The sequence below is a fragment of the Homo sapiens genome, chromosome 19 (genome assembly GCF_000001405.40).
Source record: "Homo sapiens chromosome 19, GRCh38.p14 Primary Assembly".
Taxonomy (NCBI): Eukaryota; Metazoa; Chordata; class Mammalia; order Primates; family Hominidae; genus Homo; species Homo sapiens.
Genome location: NC_000019.10, coordinates 28699661 through 28721960, shown reverse-complemented (window position 1 = coordinate 28721960; position 22300 = coordinate 28699661). Strand labels below are relative to the sequence as shown.

Genomic DNA, 22300 nt, shown 5'->3' with positions numbered 1-22300 from the left:
TTAATAGGTATGATTTAAAATTTTTTTCAGATAAATCTTCTATCAGATAGTGTCTGATACAGATAGTTCTTTTGGATTTTCTATATGTAAGTACATTCACTAAAGAAGTCTACTTTTAGCCATGTAAAAATGGACTTATATTCCTCTAGTAAGTGGAAGACTGGCTAATGCAACGATCATAATGTTAATAATGTTGCTTGGTGTTTTGTAGTTTTGAAAGTACTTTCCTGTTTCTATACCATTTGTCAGTTAACCTGGTTTTGCCAAGCTTAGTTTAAATACTCGATAAAGAAGCAGAGTGCCTCAGATGCCGCTTCCGACATCTTATGGACAATCTCTAATTGCATGCAAGAACATTTAACCCTGGGTATTCAGTATTAAGCCAAGCAATATAAATCTAAAGAACTGGTTTCTGTCCAGGACCAAAATGACTCTGTTATGTTTCTCTTGCTTTAAAATAGTCTGTCAGTTGAAGCATTTGAAGGTGAAGGGATAACTGATGAGTTTAGGAAATTAGAGAGGATGCCAATCTCTATGGGTATAGAAGTTGGTAGAAAGACAAGTACCTGGAACTGGTAAGAGTTCCTGTTAAGGAAGAGGAGCCTGGTTACATTTACTCTCCATGTTGAGGACTCAGATTCTGGTCGGTGCCTAGAGAAGGTCAAATTATGAGGGTTTTCATTTGCCCATTGATTCAATAAGTGTGGAGTGCTGGGTTCTCAGCTGAGGGTGGGGTATGACTGGTGCACAAAACCAACACCCTTGTCGGGGAGCTGCCAGTCTAAAGGTGGGAGGTGAAGCTTTATAGAATAGTCACATAAGGATGCAGATGCAATTGGAAGCGGCCGTGAGCACCGTGAAGAATTGCAGAGTGTCCTAAGACTGGGTCAGGTTGCTGTTCTGTGCTTATTTCCTGAGGAAATGACATTCAAATTTGGGTGTAAAAGGTGAAAGGAATGGCAGGTGAAAGGGGTGGCAGAGATGGGGGAACCGGTTCAGGAACTCAGTGGCTTTGAGGAGCTGCAAGGTCAATGTGGCCAGAACACAGTGCTGGGAGAGTCCTGTGGACTCTCAGCCAGGGTAGAGAGGTTGGCAGGGCTCAGACGGTGCAGGGCTTTGTCTCCCAGTGAATCATTTTGTAAGAGCATGAAAAGCCATGGAGGGATTTTTATTCTGGGGTCAATATGACTTGCTTTGTGTTTTAAAAGGTTCGTTCTGGCTGCTGTGTGGAAAACAAGTGGAGGGAGATGGAATAGGGAGGTGGGGATATGGAGGGGTCTAGAGTGGGGATATGGAGAGATCTAGAGTGGCGGATATGGAGGGGTCTAGAGTCAGGATACGGAGAGCACTAGAGTGGGGGATATGGAGGGATCTAGAGTGGGGATATGTAGGGGTATAGAGTGGGGATATGGAGGGGTCTAGAGTGGGGATATGGAGGGGTCTAGATTCAGGATACGGAGAGCACTAGAGTGGGGGATATGGAGGGATCTAGAGTGGGGATATGTAGGGGTATAGAGTGGGGATATGGAGGGGTCTAGAGTGGGGATATGGAGGGGTCTAGAGTGGGGGATATGGAGGGGTCTAGAGTGGCGATATGGAGGGGTCTAGAGTGGGGATATGGAGGGGTCTAGAGTGGGGATGGAGGCTTATTGAGAAAGTAGAATAGCTGGGCCTTGGTTGTCGAACAGTTATGGGGGATGAGACATGAGTGGATGTGGAAGTCAAGGCTGATACTCATGTTTCTGGCTTAAAGGAATAAAGACTGGGGAGGTGTAGATGTGAATGATGTGTAAGTGCCTGGCATGGTACTGGTGAGGAGGATGTCTGAGCTGAGTCATGGGTTGTAAATACAGGCTTACCAGGTGGAGAAGGAAGACACTTCCAGCAGGCTGACCAACATGTTACATGGAGGTTAGAAAGAGCTTGTGAAATTGACAGTTTACCCACAAGGGCTCTCAGGCAAGGGAGGTAATTGGAGTTAAATTATGAATCCATGTTATATTATCACGTTTAGGACTTCATTTTGAGGGCCGCAAAGAGCTGGCAGAGGTTTTTTTTGAATTGAGTAAAGGCATGCTTAGATTCATTAAAAAAAAAAAAAATAGACTCTAGAGGGTGAAGAGACTGACAGCCCAATCCATAAGAATTAAAAGATGGCTGGCTTCATTTTTAGTGCTCCTTTCTTTTCACACAGAACTTTTTGAAAGAGTTATATATAGTCACAGACAGACAGTCTGTACTTCTTGGCATCCCAGTAACACTTCTACTCTGACTTCACCATGAAAATTGTGCTCAAGATTATCAAGGACTTCCATGTTCTCAAATCCAGTTGACACTTCTCTGATCTCATCCTGCTTGACCTCTTGACTGTATTCTAGGTGTTTGATCATTTCTATTTTTTTATTTTTTTATTTTTAATTTTTGTGGGTACATAGTAGGTTTATATATTTATGGGTTACATGAGATGTTTTGATACAGGCATGCAATGTGAAATAATCACATCATGGAGAATGGTGTATCCTTCCTTCAAATGCTTATCCTTTGTGTTATAAACAATCCAATTAGACTCTTTTCGTTCTTTTAAAATGTACAATTATGTTATTATTGACTATAGTCACTCTGTTATACTGTCAACTAATAGGTTCTATTCATTCTTTCTAATTAACCATCCCTACCTTCCCCTCATCCCCCAACTACCCTTTTAGCCTGTAGTAACCATCCTTCTATCCTCTCTCTCCATAAGCTCAATTGTTTTGATTATTAGATCCTACAAATAAGTGAAAACATGCAATGTTTGTGTTTCTGTGCCTGGCTTATTTCACTTAACATAATGATCTCCAGTTTCATCCATGTTGTTGCAAATGATTCATTCTTTTTTATGGCTGAATAGTATTCCATTGTGTAGAAGTCCTACATTTTCTTTATCCGTTCGTCTGTTGATGGACACTTAGATTGCTGCCAGATCCCAGCTATTGTAAACAGTGCTGCAAATAAACGTAGGAGTGCAGGTATCTTTTCAGTATACTTATTTTCCTTATTTTGGATATATACCCAGGAGTGGTATTGCTGGATGATATGGTAGCTCCATTTTTAGTTTTTTGAGGAACTTCCAAACTGTTCTCCATAATTATTTTACTAATTTACATTCTCACCAACAGTGTAGGATGGTTCCCTTTTCTTTTTCTTTTTTCTTTTTTTTTTGAGATGGAATTTCCTTCCTGTTGCCCAGGCTGTAGTGCAATGGCGCGATCTCTGCTCACCACAACCTCCGCCTTCCAGGTTCAAGCGATTCTCCTGCCTCAGCCTCCCGAGTAGCTGGGATTACAGGCATGTGCCACCATGCCCAGCTAATTTTGTATTTTTAGTAGAGACGGGGTTTCTCCATGTTGGTCAGGCTGGTCTCGAACTTCCAACCTCCAGGGATCCACCCGCCTTGGCCTCCCAAAGTGCTGGGATTACAGGCATGAGGCACTGTGCCTGGCCTGGTTCCCTTTTCTTAACATCTTCGCCAGCATTTGTTATCGCCTGTGTTTTGGATATAAGACATTTTAACTGGGGTGAGATGATATCTCATTGTAGTTTTGATTTGCATTGCTCTGGTGAACAATGACGTTGAGCACCTTTTCATATGCCTGTTTGCCATTTGTATGTCTTCTTTTGAGAAATGGCTATTCAAATCTTTTGCCCATTTTTTTATTATTAGATTTTTTCCTATAGAGTTGTTTGCAGCCCCGTGTATATTCTGGTTATTAATTTCTTGTCAGATGGGTAGTTTGCAAATATTTTCTCCCATTCCATGGGTTGTCTCTTCACTTTGTTGATTGTGTCCTTTGCTATGCAGAAGCTTTTTAACTTGATGTGATCCCATCTGTCCATTTCTGCCTTGGTTGCCTGTGCTTGTAGGGTATAACACAAGAAGTTTTTGCCCAGACCAATGTTCTAGGGAAAACCCTAATGTTTTCTTGTAGTAGTTTTGTAGTTTAAGGGTTTTTTTTTTATATATAATTTAAGGTTTTAGATTTAAGTCTTCATTTGGATTTGATTTGTGTGTATAGTGAGAGATAGGAGTCTAGTTTCCTTCTTCTGCATATAGATAACCAGTTTTCCCAGCACCAGTTATTGAAGAAGCTGTCTTTTTCCCAGTGTATGTTCTTGGCACCTTTGTGGAAAATGAGTTCGCTTATGTGTGGGGATTTGTTTTTTGGTTCTCTATTTTTTATCATTGGTTTATGTGTCTGTTTTTATGCCAGTCCCTGAAGTTTGGTTACTATAGCTCTGTAATATAATCACGAGGTCAGGAGATCGAGACCATCCTGACTAACACGGTGAAACCCCATCTCTACTAAAAATACAAAAAATTAGCCGGGCGCGGTGGCGGGTGCCTGTAGTCCCAGCTACTCGGGAGGCTGAGGCAGGAGTATGGTGCGAACCCGGGAGGCGGAGCTTGCAGTGAGCCGAGATCGGGCCACTGCACTCCAGCCTGGGCAACAGAGCAAGACTCCGTCTCAAAAAAATAAATAAATAAAAAAAATTAAAGTCAGATAATGTGATTCTTCCAGTTTTGTTCTTTTTCCTTATGATAATACTGAATCTGTAGATTGCTTTGGATAGTATGGACATTTTAACAAAATTGCTTCTTCCATTCCATGAACATGGAATATTTTTCCTTTTTTTGGTGTTCTCTTTCTTTCATCACTGTTTTATAGTTTTCATTATAATCTTTCACTTCTTTGGGTAGTTCCTAGGTATTTAATTTTATGTGTAACTATTTTAAATGGGGTTACTTAAATTTTTTTCAGATTGTTCACTGTTGGCATATAAAAATGCTACTGATTTTTATATATTGATTTTGTATTCTGCGACTTGACTGAATTTATCACTTCTAGTAGTTTTTGGGTGGAGTCTTTAGGTTTTTTTCAAATATAAGATCATATCACTTGCAAACAAGGTAATTTGACATCTTCCATTCCAACTTGGATGCCCTTTATATCCTTCTCTTGTCTGATTGCTGTAGCTAGGACTTATAGTACTGTGGTGAATAACACTGGTGAAAGTGGGCATCCTTGTGTTCCGAATCTTAGAGGAAAGACTTTCAGTTCTCCACATTCAGTATGATAAGAGCTATGGGTCTGCTGTATATGGCTTTTATTATGTTGAGGTATGTTCCTTCTATACCCAGCTTTTTGAGAGTTTTTATCATGAAGGGATGTTGAATTTTATGAAATGCCTTTTCAGCATCAATTGAAATGATCATATGGTTTTTATCCTTCATTCTGTTGATATGATATGTCACATTGATTTGTGTATGTTGAACCATCCTTGCATCATGGGGATACATTACATTTTGTTATGATGAATGATCTAATATATTAGCGAATTTGGTTTGGTAATGTTGAGAATTTTTCAATAAGTATTCATCAGAGATATTGGCCTGTAGTTTTCTTTCTTTTTTTTCTTTTCTTTTCTTTTTTTTGATGCGTCTTTGTCTGATTTTGATATCAGGGTAATACTGGTCTTGTAGAATGAGTTTGGAAGTATTCCCTCCTCTGCTATTTTTTGGAATAGTTTGAGGAGGATTGGTAAAACTCAGCAGTGACGCCATCAGTCCCGAGCTTTTCTTTACTTGGAGATTTTTTATTATAGCTTTGATATTGTTACTTGTTATTGGTCCATTCAGGTTTTAGATTTCTTCCTGATTAAATCTTGATTGGTTGTATATATCTAGAAATTTGTCCATTTCTTCTGTATTTTCTGATTTATTGGTATATAGTTGCCTATACTATCCAACAATGATACTAGGAATCAAATTCTTTGAATTTCTGCAATATCAGTTGTAATGTCTCGTTTTTCATTTTTGATTTTATTTATTCGTATCTTTTTTTTTCTTTTTTTTAGTTTGGCAATGTCAATTTTGTGTAACTTTTTAAAAAACAACCTTTTGTTTCATTGATGTTTTGTATTTTCATTTCAGTTTTATTTATGTCTGCACTGATCTTTATTATTTATTTTCTTCTAATTTTGGGTTTGGTTTGCTCTTGCTTTTCTAGTTCTTTAAGATGCATTGTTAGATTATTTATGTGGAGTTCTTCCTCTTTTTGATGTAGGCACTTATAGCTATAAACTTTCCTTTGAGTACTGCTTTTACTGTATCCCATAGGTTTTGCTATATTGTATTTCCATTATGATTTGTTTCAAGAAATTGTTCAATTTTCTTCTTAATTTCTTCATTAACTCTCTGGTCATTTAGGCGCATATTGTTTGATTTCCATGTATTTGCATAGTTTCCAAAATTCCTCTTGTTATTGATTTCTAGTTTTATTCTATTGCGGTCAGAGAAGATGCTTGATATTATCTCAGTTTTTTTGAATGTTTGAAGACTCGAAGGTACTGCCTTCATGGTCTTGAGCAAGATCCGGGAGAATTCTCTGGATTACCAGGCAGAGACTCCTGTTCTCTTCCCTTACTTTCTCCCAAGCAGAGTTTCTCTTCTGAGTCACCTAAAGTTGAGGGTGGAGTGACACAACCACCCCTGTGGCCACCACCACTGTGACCGCACTGGGTCAGACCTGAAGCCAGCACAGCACTGAGTCTCACCCAAGGCCTACTGTAACCACATCCTGGCTACTGCCTATGTTTGCTCAAGAACCTGGGGCTTAACAGTCAGCAAGTGACAAAGCCAGCCAGGCCTGTGTCCTTCCCTTCAGGGTGATGAGGTCCCCCAGGCTCCAGGTGGATCCAGAGGTGTCATCTTGAAGTCAGGGACTAGAGTCAAAGCCTTAGACGTCTACCTGGTGTTCTGTTGTACTGTGGCTGAGCTGACACTCAAACCACAAGATGCAGTCCTTCCCACTCTTCTGTCCGCTTTCCAAAAGCAGAGGAGCCTCACCCTGTAGCTACCACCATCCCAGGCCACAAGGACTACTGCCAGACTATTGCTGATGTTCCTGTAAGGCCCCAGGTCTCTCGACTCAGTTGGTGGTGAATGCTGCCTGGCCTGGGACTCACCCTTCAGGGCAGTGGGCTTCCCTCCCTCTGACCCAGGACAGGTCCAGAAATGCCATTCAAGAATCAAGTCCCAGAATTAGGGACACTAATAGCCCGCTGGGTACTCTACCCTGCTGTGGCTGTGCTAGTACCTAAGGTGAGAGACGAAGTCCCCTTTACTTTTCCCTCTGCTTTTCTCAAGCTGAAGGAGACTTGGCCTGTGGCCCACCACAGCTGGGAATGTGCTGAGTCTCCCCTGAAGCCAGCAAGTCTCAGTGGCTCATCAAGGCCCTTGACGTAGTACCTGGGTATAGCTGCTGGTTATTCAGGGTCCAAGGGGTCTTCAGTTGGCAGGCGATGAATGCTGGCAGGACTGGGTCCTTTCCTTCAAAGCAGTGGGTTCCTTGTAACCCAGGATGTGTCTAGAAATGTCATTGGGGGTTGGGAGTTAGGGCCTGGAATGCGGCATGGGGAAGCCTCACAACTCTGGCTGGTGACCTATCCTGCTGTGGCTGAGCTGGTATCCAAGATGGAAGATGAAGACCTCCCCACTCTTCCCCCTCCTCTTCTCAAGTGGAGGGATGGGGTCTCCTTTAGAGCTGTGAGCTGTGCAGTCTGGGTTTAGGGGAGGGGTGATGCCAGCACTCCGGTAGACACCCCAGCTGATGTCTCAGTAGGTTGTGTGCCCCCACCAAGTCCACTGTGTCTCTGTGTTTCTGGGCCCAGTTCAGCCCTAGGACTCACCTAAGAGTCGCAGTCCTTATGGCCTAGTGTGCCTGTCAAGTTTACTTAGAGACACAAAGTGCTTTAGCCCTCAGTGGCAAGGTTTGCAGGATCTCAAGTTTGGACTGCTGGGATGAGTGATTCCGCTCTGGCTGGGGCTGGTTTAAATGCCGCCTCCATAGGTGAGTGTCAGCTGAGTTTGGTCTAGTTTTCCTTTCTGCTGTGGCAGGACAGCTCAGTTTAATGCCTTACAATTGCAGTGCTCTCCCTCCTGCAGCACCCAGATATGCTCTCTGTACCACACAGGATGGTGGGTGAGGGGTGGCATCGGCGATTCAAGACTGTTTTTTCTATCTCTTCCATGCCTCTTTTCAGTGATATGAAGTTAAAACCAGGTGCTATAGGTGCTCACGTGATTTTTAGTTCTTACCAAAGAACTGGATAGTTGTTAAATTGGTGTCCTTGCACAGAGAATGATCAGAGGAGCCTTCTTTTCCACTACCTTGCTCTGCCTCCTCCATTCCCATCTTAACACACTCTCCTCTCAGCCTCTACGACAGCACTATTCATTTGGTGTCTCACCGGCTTGGTTTTCTAGTCATCTTGCCTAGCTCTTCTCTCATGCTCTAACTTTTTAGAGTGTTCGAGTTACCAAGGGATCAATCCTATTACTCTTCTTTTTCTCATCTACTCTACCTTGGAACCACATTATAATAACTTGGGGATTTTCCTTATAGACACATCCAACCACTACATGAAGAAGGAATGATAGAATATCCATATTTTGTAACCACTAATGAAATAAAGGTTGTAGGCAGTGATCCTCAATGACTGCTGTAATCTTTAGGTGAAAAACTAATAGAGAACTTCATAGTGGGTGAATCAGGCTGACAACACCTGAATCCATTGATCAGTCTTAACCTCACAAAAAGAGATGGCTAGGCGTTATAGAAGTCTTCACTTACTGTTGTCGACAGGTTCTTGGAAACTTCAACTTTAAGCGAAATTACAAAACCAATGTTACCATAGGCTAATAGATACAAACAAAAGTTAAAGTTCCTATGGCCTATTTCTGGTCACAAAAACATCACCAAACTTCTAAATAAAGACCAAAAACAATTTTAATCTTGAACATTGAAATAAATGTGAATCCTGTATACATATAAGAAAGATTATAAAAACAAAATAATTATTTACCCAATTTTTGGTGAATCAGTGAGTCACGGCAGTCATGGTGGTGGTTGGTCAAATTGAGGAATAAATGTCGGCAAAGTAAAAATTGTAAGGAGTACCCTTTACCACCACGTGGTTCAAACCGTCACCAACTTGATGGACTCGCTGAGTGATTTTATACTGCATTGTTTATTGTTGTGCATTTGTATGATTATTGTCTAATTTAAGATTTTTTATTTGACAATAATTCATATTCATTCTTTCATTTTCCAACCTGCTTATTCCAGTTCAGGGATGCAGGTGGCCAAAACCTATCATGGCAGCTTAGGGTGCAAGATAGGAACCAGCATGAGACACAATGCCACTTCATCCCAGGGTGCACTCACACCCACACTCAGACTGGGACGATGTCGACACACCAGTTCAGCTAGCATGCTCATCTTTCGTATGCACATCTTTATGATGTGGGAAGCCAGAGTACCTGTAGAAAACCCATGCAGACATAGGAAAAACATGAAAACTCCACACAGACTGCGACTATGGCCAGGAATTGATGTTTATTCCCTTATATAGTGAAAGGCATTCAATGAAAGGCTGATATTAGAGGACTTGCTATATGTGCTTCCCGATGCAAGTACATCATACCTCACTTGAAGTATTCCTGCCAAAAAGTCTTTCCTGAAGCCCATCAAGCTCTAGATCTTACTATCAGTTTACTAGAAAGGAAAGAAACAGAAAAACATGTTAAATGACCCCATGGATAAGTAATCAACAAAATTCAGTGTGTGTGAAACTATTAAATAAATTACAAGGGTAAAAAGAGCAAGGGGTAATGTATAGAATAAAAGTGATTTAAGAGACGCATCCATTAAGGGCCACAGCTGGCCTTGTTTGGATCCTAATTTGAACAAGTCAACTGTAAAACAACAACAGCAAAAGAGAAAATTAGGAAAATTTGAGTACTGACTGGATATTTGGTAATATTAAGAAATTAAAACTTTTTTGGCATAAGGATTTATTTTAGAGCTACATACTAAAAATTTGTGAATGATTTGATACATCTGAGATTTGCTTCAAAATAAGCCAGGGTCAGGATGATGAGAGGAGAGGAGCAGAGGGTAGGTTGGTGAGGTAGAGATGAAATAAGATTTCTCCCAAGTGGGTAATTCTTGAAGTTGGCTGATGGATACATGATATTCATGATACTATTTTATCTGTTGTATGTTTAGAATTTTTTGTAATAAAAATTTGTTAAAGTGCTTAGAGAGCTTTAAAAAACATGTGAATGCTAACCCCCTTCCCTCCGCAGATATCTGATTTATTGGTCTGGGATAGGGAATCAATTTTTTAAAGTATCCCGGGGGACCCTAATGTGCAACCAGGGTTGAGAACTGCTGCTTTATATTATGTCCCTAGATGATCTCATTTACTGCTTTAAAACTATTAATATGCTGACACCTCCCAGATTTATGTCTCTAGCCCTGACCTTTCCCTGGATCTCTGGGCTTGTATATTTCTCTGTACATTTGACGTCATTACTGGGAGGTCAGATAGGCATCTCAGCCTGAACATGGCAAAGACACAACTCTTCATTTTGAACCCCAAACCTGTTTCTCTCCCAGTGTTTTCTATCTCAACAAATGGAACTACTACCTGCCCAGTTAGAGATGGTCAATAAATACTACTTCTGATAAAAAGAAAGTTTTAAAAAAATGAGTGTTATAGAAAAACCCCTCTAGCTGATTCAAAGAAGGTCTTTATCTTGTGTGACTCAACTGATAACCATAGCAAATATGCAGCATTCTCTGAGATATGAGAATTGCTTTGATTTATTCTTTAGCTCTCATCCCTCCAGAATCCTAACATTTGGAGCCAGTGATTAAATTTGAATGATATTAAGTTATTTTTCAGGTTTTTCTACCAGAACATTTGGAAGAGTTGGGATGAAGAAAAGGATGATGCATATGATTGTTTTGTCAGACGTGTTAAACCTCAATTGAGATTGTGTTTATTACTGACCTTGTACATATTGAAAAAATAGTTACCATGGCTTAATTTTACCTTTGTGAGACACACACATGCGCAATGCACGCACACACACACATACACACACACATACACACGCACATACTCTTACTCCAAGGGCCTATAGACAGAAATAGACCAATATACAAATAGTGCAGCCCCTTTTCAAGTTATTAAATGAAACGAACAAGTGCAGAGAAACCTGCTTTAACTGTTTATAAACTAAGCCTAAAATCAGGAGGTTTGTGAACATCTATTTAATGACAATTGTTTGAAAAACAAAGAACTTATTTGCATTATAGAGACTTTTTTGCTTGAAACTTAAATAATACTTTTTTTTTAAAGTATATGGCTTTACTCTAAGTTCCTATAGTAAAACATACTAGGTTAAACTAACAGATGAATCAAAAATACCTAAACGCATTCTTCTAATTTATCATATTTTGACAAGGAAAAGCTTTTCCGTTCAAAAATACCAAAATTAATCATGCAACCTAAATTAAGTAGTTGTTCTATGCTGATCTTGTTACATGCGACACTTATCTTTCCACTAGATGGTGCTGTAAGACCAGTAATTTTCTCCTGTATTCCTGAGCAGTAAATTAACAGGCAATGCTGCAATAAAATTAGAACTCACACTAAAAAGAATTGTAGAAGGTAATTTGTTTTTCCTATGTGAAAGATGATTTGACATTATATAAGACAAGGCCTTTACATTTTCATGCAGTTTGATTTGATTTAGTAAGTTTCTCTTGGTTTAAATAGTAAATAATAACAAAATTTTTTAAAAAATGAAAATCTGGTTAATGGTTCTACCTGGTTTACAATTATGTATGTCTGATTTCAGCTTTCATAAGTTGACTGTGATTTCTACCTTTCTAATTTTTCTATTGTGCATTTCCTATTTTTCTATAGTGTGTTCAGTACAATCCCAGAACATCAAAAAGCTTGAATATTTTCTAGGTTTGATACACTTGCTCTTAAAGAGCAGTGATTGGTTTTGATTGAAGTAGAATGTAATGGTAGGTAAATATAATGCATATCTGGCAAATTTGATCTGTATGTGGACAAAAAAAATTGTATTCTGATTTGAGAGCCTTGCATGTGTGGACAAGTAATGATCTCCATACATGCCTTGTACATCACTGGCAGATGGGACAGCATAAGGGAGGAATTGTCTTTAGTTACGGAGAAGAAACTGTGGCACTTGATGGAGAAACTGGAATGTTATCACATGTATGCAGACTCTAAAAAGGTTCCTGGGCTAAGATAGGAGTAGAGCTATCAGCAGGCAAGATCAAATCACTGTCTTGATTTTGCACCATGTGGCAAATATTTTTCCTTTCTAATTCAAAACACACTACTTCAGAACTTAGGGGTCTGAAGATGATGTTGGTTCACTGGTTCTAGACTGTAAAGTATCAATCTAATGAGAAGAAATAAGCTAACTTGCATGGATATTGGAAATGCTAAGAAACTTATTTTAAAATTTTAGTCTTAATCTTCGCAACTTAATAGACCAGTGGTTTGGTTCGTAATTTCTTATTTGCAAAGTAGATTTCTAGAGTATCTTTAAATGAGTGTGGATAACCAAAGTAGACAAAATCCTTACTTTTTCAAGCTTTACCCAATCCATTTACTTGGAAAAGCAAGAAAATAAAATCTTCTGTTCATTTTAAATATTGAGTGTTCACCATAATTTGATATGAATTAGGATTTTGTTCAGCTTTCTCCCCTCCCCCCATCTTCTTAAGAGCATGACGAAGTTAAAAAAATAATAATCTAAGACAATAGTTCTCAACCTTGGCTACACATTACATGCTTGGGGAACTTTAAAAAATACCTCTCCACTTTCAGAGGCCCGTTTTTATTGCTCTGGATGTTGGCCTGAGCATCTGTATTTTTGAAAGATCCTAGGTGATTCTAATATTCATCAGAATTGAGAAGCTCTAACCTAAGGCACAGCTAGTTGATATACATTTAACTGAAAAATAAAGCAATTATTTTAAAACTACAGGTAATGGCAATATTTTATTTTATTGTTAAACCCATTAATTTAATATCTATTGACTGTACATTTATAAATTATTTTATTACATTGAGACATACTTTTTGTTCTGTCATTATATTTGAGAATTTATGTAAATGAATAAATTTCAAGTGCCAGTAAGGTGGTCCAGTACAAGGTTATTTTGTGTTAATCATTCTCTAATAATGACAGCATTTTTTTCCCCTCAAAATCTCAAAGGTTTATTTTTTTGAAATCCCCTGGTCTTTCTCTGGGAATATTCAACATAATTTTGTGCCTATATAGTGCTTTAAATGTAAGGAAGGACTAGACAGTTTGAGTCATTTCTAATTTTTGATCCTATAAATATGGTAATCTTTTAAAACATTTTAAAATCACATTCAGATCTCTGAAAAACATGGCAGTCTTAACCATTGTGAAACAATTTACTTCCCTCTATACCCCTACTCCCCAGTTGGCCCTTGCCACCCACTCCTTATTAAGATTTTGAATCTAATATATGAGAAGAAAATAATTTCTTATTAAATAATGATTACAAATTGTACAATATGAACTTTAGGTAATTCTAAAGCACAAATGTTTGGATCTAAGAAAAAACAATTCCTCAAAAGAAGAAAAATTAATGACTTCAATGAAGTGGTGTTTGAAACTTTCAACAGTTACCACTTAGAGTACTATTCAGAGAGACTTAACATGTACCTGAGTTATAAAGCACTTTTCTTAGTGGGTCTTTGAGGACTCCATGGGCTTTCTTAATGAGAAAAAATGTGTCTGAAAGGCAATGGATTTCAGTTTGCTTTTAAACTCTCAGGGATTATGACATTCTTGAAAACTGAGTTCCTTCAGGACGTGACTACCACAATCTGTTGTCTCAATGTGAGGAGAGTTACAGCAAATTTTTTAATCTGAGAAGCAGTTTGGCAAATTGTAGCTCTGAGCAGGAAAATATCTCCATGGTTGAAGGGTTAAAATTGTATTCAGAGATTGAACAGGTGAAGCAAAAGCTAAAACTCATGGAGAGTCCTTTGTTGAGGTATGTGTGCCTTTGTAATTCTTAGCTAGTTAGCATCTTTTCTTCCTTGCTATCTTACTGAGAACTGTTAGGTCTGTTTGGTTTCTTCATGGTATGTGTTTGGTTATCAGAATTCTAACATCTAAGCAAAGGGTGTCCATCCAGTTGTCAGAAGTTCCACCCATGAGATCTCCTCCACCATGATGACTGGTCTGCTGTGGACCCTACTCATGGACAGGCTTTGCCAGGTGCCTTGGGGGAAGATATAGAAATTCAGGTAAAAGAAGAGTGTCTTGCTGCAAGTGGCTTTTTTCCTTCTGATTCACCATAGGTTTTCATGAATTCTACACAGAGCTTCCCAGAGGTGGTTTTCTGTTAAATAGGAAGTAGTGAGAACCCTGCCTTTCATCAGCAGTAGCCACTTACCAGGCATGCATTAGGTTCAGTCCACTACCAAAGGAGATGCTTCAGCGTGCAGTGTTGGCTCCATTTTCAGAGTGAGACATGAAGGCACTTGGAATAATACTCGAGTTGCTTTGTGGGGTTGTATATTTGTCACTTTGCACACTGCCTATAAATACCTGATAAAGAAAAGAGGTTTAATTGGCTCACAGTTCTGCAGGTTATAAGGACACATGGCAGGGGAGGCCTCAGGAAACTTACAATCATGGCAGAAGGTGAAGGGGAAGCAGGCATGGCTTAAATGGCTGGAGGAGGAGGAAGAAAGAGAATGAGGGTAGGTGCTACATACTTTTAAACAACCAGATCTCATGAGAACTCTGTCATGAGACAGCACTAGGGGGATGGTACTAAACCATTAGAAACTGTCCCCATTACCCAGTCACCTCCCACTAGGCTCCACATCCAACACTGGGGATTACAATTGAACATGAGACATGAGACTTGGTTGGGGACAGAGATCCACACCATATGTGGGTGTATATTTGCAAATATGTTGTTGTTTTCTAGTTCTTCGGTGATCCATTATCTGTTATAAATGCCTGCTATGAAGGTGACACTGTTATCGTTTGTCCTGACCATTTTGTGGTATGTGGCATAATGGAGTGCAGTGTTGACTCCATTGAGTTGGAAGGTGGGTATGGAAGACACAACCAAACTCTCATGCATGACATGATTAAGTAAACAATAAATGACTGTTCTTGTCAAAGCTCCAAGAATGTGATTTCAACCTATTTCACTTCAAATGAATTATTGAATTGCCTTGAAACATTAAAGGCATTGGAAGCTTAAAAGGAGTTGACCCAGTTTTTGAGTAAGTGGACTTGTGGTTCTTTGTAGCAGTGTATATGTTGGGAAGATACTTACAGGGCTGTATAGAAAAAAGACCATGAGGAAGAAGCAAACTATACAGATCGTAGGTGATTTATGGAAAGGATGTCAAATTTCTAGAATTAAAAAAAAAAGATTCCCAACAATATTATTTTTAATTTCAGTATTTTTTAGTTTGTTACTTGCTCTTATCTCATAGATATTGTGATATCTTAGTGCATGGCTGTTTGTTTTTTGTTTTAAATTTAGCTTATTTTTGTGAGAGATATGGTGAAGGGCGTTTTACTTGAAATTGGTATCAAAAATTATCTTAATTCTCTAAAAGTTTGCTGAGTGTCACAAATGCTACACTTTGTGTCTTGACACAGTATACTTTTGAAAACGTTAATGTTGAAAGATTAATATTAAATATATAATAGTTAATAGATAACTATTATCTGCTTTAATAGATATCTTCAATATCTATTAAAAATAACTTTTCCAGTTATAATCTTTTTGTTCATTTGGAGTAATTCCTAAGTTCAGATTACTTTACAATTGTTCATCTTGGTCTTGTATATTTCCGTAATGTGTCAAATTTAGTTGTACCTATTCAACTATTTACCAAAACTGCTACAAGTTAGCAATGAAGCTTGTAATGCAAAAAAATCATATATCATTTTGGGACTTGTGCAGCTGTTCACTAACTGCTTAAGCTGTGTTCTTGATCTTTATCTTGTCAAAACTTCTTAATGGAAGCAAGGCTGGGAGTTTAATTTCCTGCTGTTCACTAGTACATCATCTCACTCCCTTTTTTGTTTTATGTTTGTTAATTTTGTTCTTTCTCCTCTCCAATACTTGATTTATAATAGATGTGTATGTATAAGTAACACATGTGCAGGATAAATCACTGCAATAAAAACACTTTATTTTTTGGCAGAGTAAAAATAACATTCATATTATAAATTGTATAGTAGATAAGAGTTCTTAGATTGGTGAGGAAATTACAATGTAATTGCCAGAGTGTCATAAATAACCTATCAAATTCTGATAGTTGAGTGTAAAAATGACTGTAAATTTACTAACAGAGGACATTTCTGAGAATTGAGGAATCAAATGGTATCTCTGGTGTGAATATATGGAGCACTAGCTTATGAGTAAATTAAAGCTTATCTGATAGTAATCTATACCTAACACTTAAGAGATATATTGAGTACCTACTATGTGCAGGGTATTAATAGTACTTATGGTTGGGCTTCTCTTTCTTTAGAAAATCTGTTCACTTTAGGTAATGGCTTTATGTTTTAAATTGATAAGAATACGTAATTTGTGTAAAAATCTGTTTTTTCTTCAATATGCAATTCTTTTTCTATTTATAATTTTTCTGATGCTAAAAAAACAATGGTTATTGTAGAAAATATTCAAAGTACAGGCAGACACATACAGAATCAGAAACAAAATTACTCACTGTTCAGTCATTTCTAGTCCACCCTGGTAGCATTCCAGTGTATGGAGTCATCTTGCCTTCTCTAGTGCCCCCAGAGGCTTGTCTGTACCCTTCAAGTATGGATAAGTTCAGTGGCTTTGCCTGTTTACTGCAGTTACTGCTTTCATGTACTCAAGGACTTATCATTAGACAATGAGGTCTTTCTTTCTTACAGCTTCGTCTATGTGTTTGTCTTCTGTTTTATAATGAAAGTCAAGCGAGTTCTTTAGTTTTCCGATATTCCAGGTTTTTGTAAGCCCACTCAGAGGCTTGGCCTGTATTACTGATTTGATTAAGATTTATGGAGAGCTAATGCTTTTTGTTGATTAATGAAATAGACTGTTTTTTCCTGTAGCTAAACTGTCATAAGTCAGTTTGTCAGATTTTAAGTCATTCTTTCTACGAGAATATTAAAATTAGGTAATCTTGAGAACTGCTTAGGTTTATTCAAATGTAATTTGTATTAGAATCATAGAATCTCAGATACTTAAGGTTCCTTCCACAGCACCCATGCAGTTAGACAAAAGCTTAAGAGAGCTGAATGCTTTAAAGCCCTTTGACCCAGTTGTAGATCCTTAGGATTATTTTTTAACTTTCATGGCAGCTTTGTATGTGCATTTTGTGCTGGGCTGTTCTGAGATGGCTGATAGAGTAGTCTTGCTAGTATGGGGACACATTGGGAAGTTGTTATTGTTAAAAATTTGATGCCCTGGTTTAAATAAGATATGTGGGGAGATCGACTTTATTTAAATGCATCTGGGTTGACTGGTCTCATTATCATTTCAAGCCCCTTGCACTAGAGAAATGTGTTCTACATTTTTGTGTTTGGACATTTCCCCTCACCCACCTTAAATGTTTCTGTTCTCTTCCTTAGGATATGGTCTACCAATTAATATTGTGATAGAAAAGAGGGAAAAAGGTGACACTTCTGTGGACTGCATGAATGAGGATATTAACATCTCAGGCATAAGATTTGTTCAGCATGGTGTTATAAAAGAAATCTTAAATGTCTGACTGTTTGGTGTATTTACTCATTCTAGGCTTTGAAGGAAAACTTTACTTTCTATGGAAGATAGAATTTAATGAAATGCCACTGTTGAGTACAGGAATACCTAGTTGTATTGTGCTTTGCAGATATTGAATGTTTTATACATTGAAGGTTTGTGGTAACCCTGCTTCGAGTAAGTCTACTTGGCCTCATTTTTCCAATAACTGGTGCTCACTTTATGCCTTTGTGTGACATTTTGGTAATTCTCACAATATTTCAAATGTTTTTATTATTATTATATTTGTTATGCTGATCTGTGACCAGTGGTCTTTGATATTACCACTGTAATTGTTTTGGGGTGATGTGAACTGCATCACCATAGAAAAATGGTGAACTTAGTAAGTGTTGTGTGTGTTCTGACTATTCCAACAATCAGCCATGCCCCCTTCTCTCTCCCTCTTCTTGGGCTTCTCTATTCTGAGACAAAGCAATATAGAAAGGAGACCAATTAATAACCCTACAATGACATCTATGTGTTCAAGTGAAAGGAAGAGTTGCATGTCCCTCACATTAAACAAAGTCTAGAAATGATTAAGCCTAGTGAGAAAGGCACATCAAAAGCCAAACACATGAATAAGAGAGCAAAACAGCCTTATTACTAATATGGAGAAAGTTTTAGTTGTCAGCATAGAAGATTAAATCAACTACAACATTCCCTTAAGCATAAGCCTACACAGCAAGGTCCTAACTCTTTTTAATTCTGTGAAGGCTGAGAGAGTCAAGGGAGCTACAGAAGAAAAAGTTGGCTAGCAGAGGTTGGTTCATGAGGTTTAAGGAAAGAAGTCATCTCTGTAACATAAAAGTGCAAGGTGAAGCAGTAGTTTCTATTGTAGAAGCTGCGGAAAGCTATCCAGAAGAGCTAGCTGAAGTCACTGATGAAGGTGGCTACACTAAACAGCAGATTTTCAGTGTAGATGAAATGGCCTTCTATTGGAAGAAGATGCATCTAGGACTTTTCATAACTAGAGAAAAGTCATTAGTTGGCTTCAAAGCTTCAAAAGACAGGCCAATTCTCTTACTGGTGACTTTAACTTGAATCAGTGGTCAATTACAATTCTGAAAATCTTAGGGCCCTTAAGAATTATGCTATGTCTATTCTGCCTGTGCTCTAGAAATGGAACAACAAAGCCTGAGTGGTAGCAAATCCGTTTATTGCATTGTTTGCTGAATATTTCAAGCCCACTGTTGAGACGCACTGCTCAGAAAAAAAAAAAAAAATCCTTCCAAAATATTGCTTACCGAACAATGCACCTGGTCACCTGAGAGCTCTGACGGAAATGTGCGAGGAGATTAATATTCTTTTCATGCTAACACAACATCCATTCTGCAGCCCATGGATCAAGGAGTAATTTCAACTTTCAAGTCTTAATATTTAAGAAATAGACTTCATAAAGTATAGCTTCAATTGATAGTGATTTCTCTGATGGATCTGGGCAAAGTCAATTGAAAACCTTCTGGGAAGGATTCACCACTTAGATGTCATTAAGAACATTCAAGACTCATGAGAGGAGGTCAGAATGTCAACATTAACATTGGGTTTGGGAGAAATTGATTCCAACACTCCCAAACTCTTTGAGGGTCAAGAAGTCAGTGGAGGAAGTAACTGCAGATGAGTGGAAATACTAAGAGAACCAGAATTAGAAGTGGAGCCTGGTGATGGGACTGAGTTGCTACAATCTTATGACAAAACTTGAACAGGTGAGGAGTTGCTTCTTACGGATGAGCAAAGAAGATGATTTCTTGAGATGGAATCTACTCCTGGTAAAGAGAATGAATATTGTTGAAATGACAACAAAGGATTTAGCATAGTACGTCAGTGTAGTTGATAAAGCAGAGGAGGGCTTTGAGATGATCAACTCCTATTTTGAAAAACATTCTTCTGTGAGTAAAATGCTATCATAACATCGCATTACATGCTACTGAGAAATCTTTTTCGAAAGGAGGGGTCAATGCGGCAAACTGTTCGTCTTATTTTAAGAAATTGCCACAGCCAGCCCAACCTTCAGCAACCACTATCCTGATCAGTCAGCAGCCGTCAACATTGAGGCAAGACCCTCCACCAGCAAAAAAGATTATGATTTTCTGAAGGTCAGATGATCCTTGTATGTTTTAGCAAAATAAAGTATTTTTAAATTAAGGTTTATACTTTTTTTTAAAACATAGTGCTTTTGTACACTTAGACTACAATATTATATAAACATACCTTTTTTTTTTTTAATTTATTTTTTATTTTTTTTTTTTGGAGAGACAGGGTCTCGCTCTGTCAACCAGGCTGGAGAGCAGTGGTGCAGTCCTAGCTCACTACAGCCTCAATCTCCTGGGGTCAAGTGATTCTTCCACCTCAGCCTTTTGAGCAGCTGAGACTACAGGCACGTACCACCACACCAGGCTAATATTTTTATGTCTTTCTAGAGATAGAGTCTCACTATGTAGCCAGGCTGCTCTCAAACTCCTGGGCTTAAGTGATCCTCCTGCCTTGTTCTCTCATAAAAATAACTTTTATATGCATTAAGAAACCAAAAAATTGATGTGACTCATTCTATTGCAATATTTGCTTTATTGCAGTGGTCTGGAAACTACACTACAATATCTCCAAGGTATGCCTGTACTTGGAAGGCTGATTATTTATGTACACAGCATGACAACTTAGGAATCTTACCCTGAAGTAAAAAATAGTTCAGCCTATTCTTGAAAATGTGTTAGTTTAATATTAATTTCTTCTCGGTGCAGTCATCTTTTTCTTTTAATACTTTCCAACGTAGTGGTCTGTATTCATTGTTTTCAATTTAGCACTAGACTGAAACTAGCTATCTTCACATTGCAGTAGTATTTGTTTCCTAAGATCTGTGTCTTCTTTCTTGAATAAGATCTTTTTTCCCCAAGATACTGAGCAAAGTTGATCTCTGATATTCTTTTGTGGTAATGAAAAGTGCTTTTGCATTTCTGAGGTCAAGTCATTCTTTTTTAAGAATGTTACTTTTAGATGTGAGAAAATAGCTCAAAACGGTCATTGTTTTGTATTTTATGAATTTCGAATTCAAGTTTAAATGGAAGTTATTAAATATTTAGACTATATCTAATGTCAGCTCCAGGCTGTCCCTGATACTGGAAAAGGTACATTACTTCTTAAAGCAGTCAGCTGTGTGTTTTCATCACAGGCACTCACCATAAGGAGACTCCATCAGAAAATTGTGCTGCCATGTGAAGTAGCATGAGGCACAGCACGCACATTTTTAATGAAGAACTTGGATTTACATGGTGACAAGATATGATGAGCTCTTTTTGGGAAATAGTTTGAGTTTAAGTTGTAAATAAATATATAAAATATGAGACCAAGATGTAAGTGCAGACTCCTATTCTCTTTCTTCAAAGAATTTCAGACATTTATATCTACTAAGTCATGCAAGCTCAATTGTACAAGGTTCTTACGTAGCATTTTCAAAACATAGATTAGTAAGAAAAATAATAAATCTCACAATTTACTGTAACTTTCAGAGAATTTTAGGCTCTTAAAATTATGACTTTATAAACAATTTTATAACAGTCAAAGCTCAGTTGCTTTTATTTAATTACTTTTTATTTTGAGGTAATTGTAGATTCACTACTGTTGTAAGAGATAACACAGAGAGATCCTGTATGTACACTCTTTACCAGTTTGGCCCAGTGGTGACATCTTATGAAACCACAGTATCGTAGCACAGCCAGAATGCTGACATTCAGTTAGGCTGAGGAGCACGTCCATCACCACAGCGATTCCTCTGGTTGCCCTTTTATAGCCACACTCACTTACTTTCCTCTCCCATCAGTCTCTTCCTTAACTGTTGGCAAACCTTAATCTGTTTTCCATTTCTGTTATTTCATCATTTCAAAAAAGTTTTAAAAATGAAATCACATTCCTTTTGGGATATGACCTTGTGGGACTGACATTTTTCACTTAACACAATTCTCTGGAGCCTCATCCCAGTAGCTGTATGTACCAGTAATTTGTTCCTTTTTATTGTTGGGTAGTAGTCCAACGTGTGGTGGTTCTGTAGTTTGTTTATTCACCCATTGGAGGACATCTAGATTATTTTCAGTTTTTGCCTATTATCAGTAAAGCTGCTGTAAGCATTTGTGTACAGATTTTGCTGAGAAGATACTTTTTATTTCTTAGGGGTAAATGCCCAGGAATACAATTGTAGGTCCTATGGCAGTTGCATGTTTAGTTTTTTAAGGAAACTTCCAGACTGTTCTCCAGAGTGGTTATACAATTTTCGATTCCCACTAGCAATGTTTAAGTGATCCAGTTTCTTCGTATCCTGAAAGCATTTGGTGTTTTCACTATTTTTTGTTTTAGCCATTCTGATAGGTGTGTAGTACTAACTGTGGTTTTAATTATTTCTGTAGTGGTTAACGGTGTTGAACATTTTTTCATAGGCTTATTTGCCATTCTTCTATCCTCTTTAGTGAGATGTCTATTTGTGACTTTTGCCTATTTTCTAATTGGATTGTTTGTCCTTTTTTACTGTAGTTTTGGGAGTTCTATATATATTCTAGGTACTAGTCTTTTGT

General features: G+C 38.0%; 1 pseudogene across 1 annotated transcript in view; it reads left to right on the top strand.

The window, feature by feature from the left end:
* The window catches only part of LOC100420587 (SHC binding and spindle associated 1 pseudogene), a 292307-nt pseudogene that overhangs the window by 5734 nt on the left and 264273 nt on the right, over positions 1 to 22300 (top strand). The window lies entirely within an intron of this gene.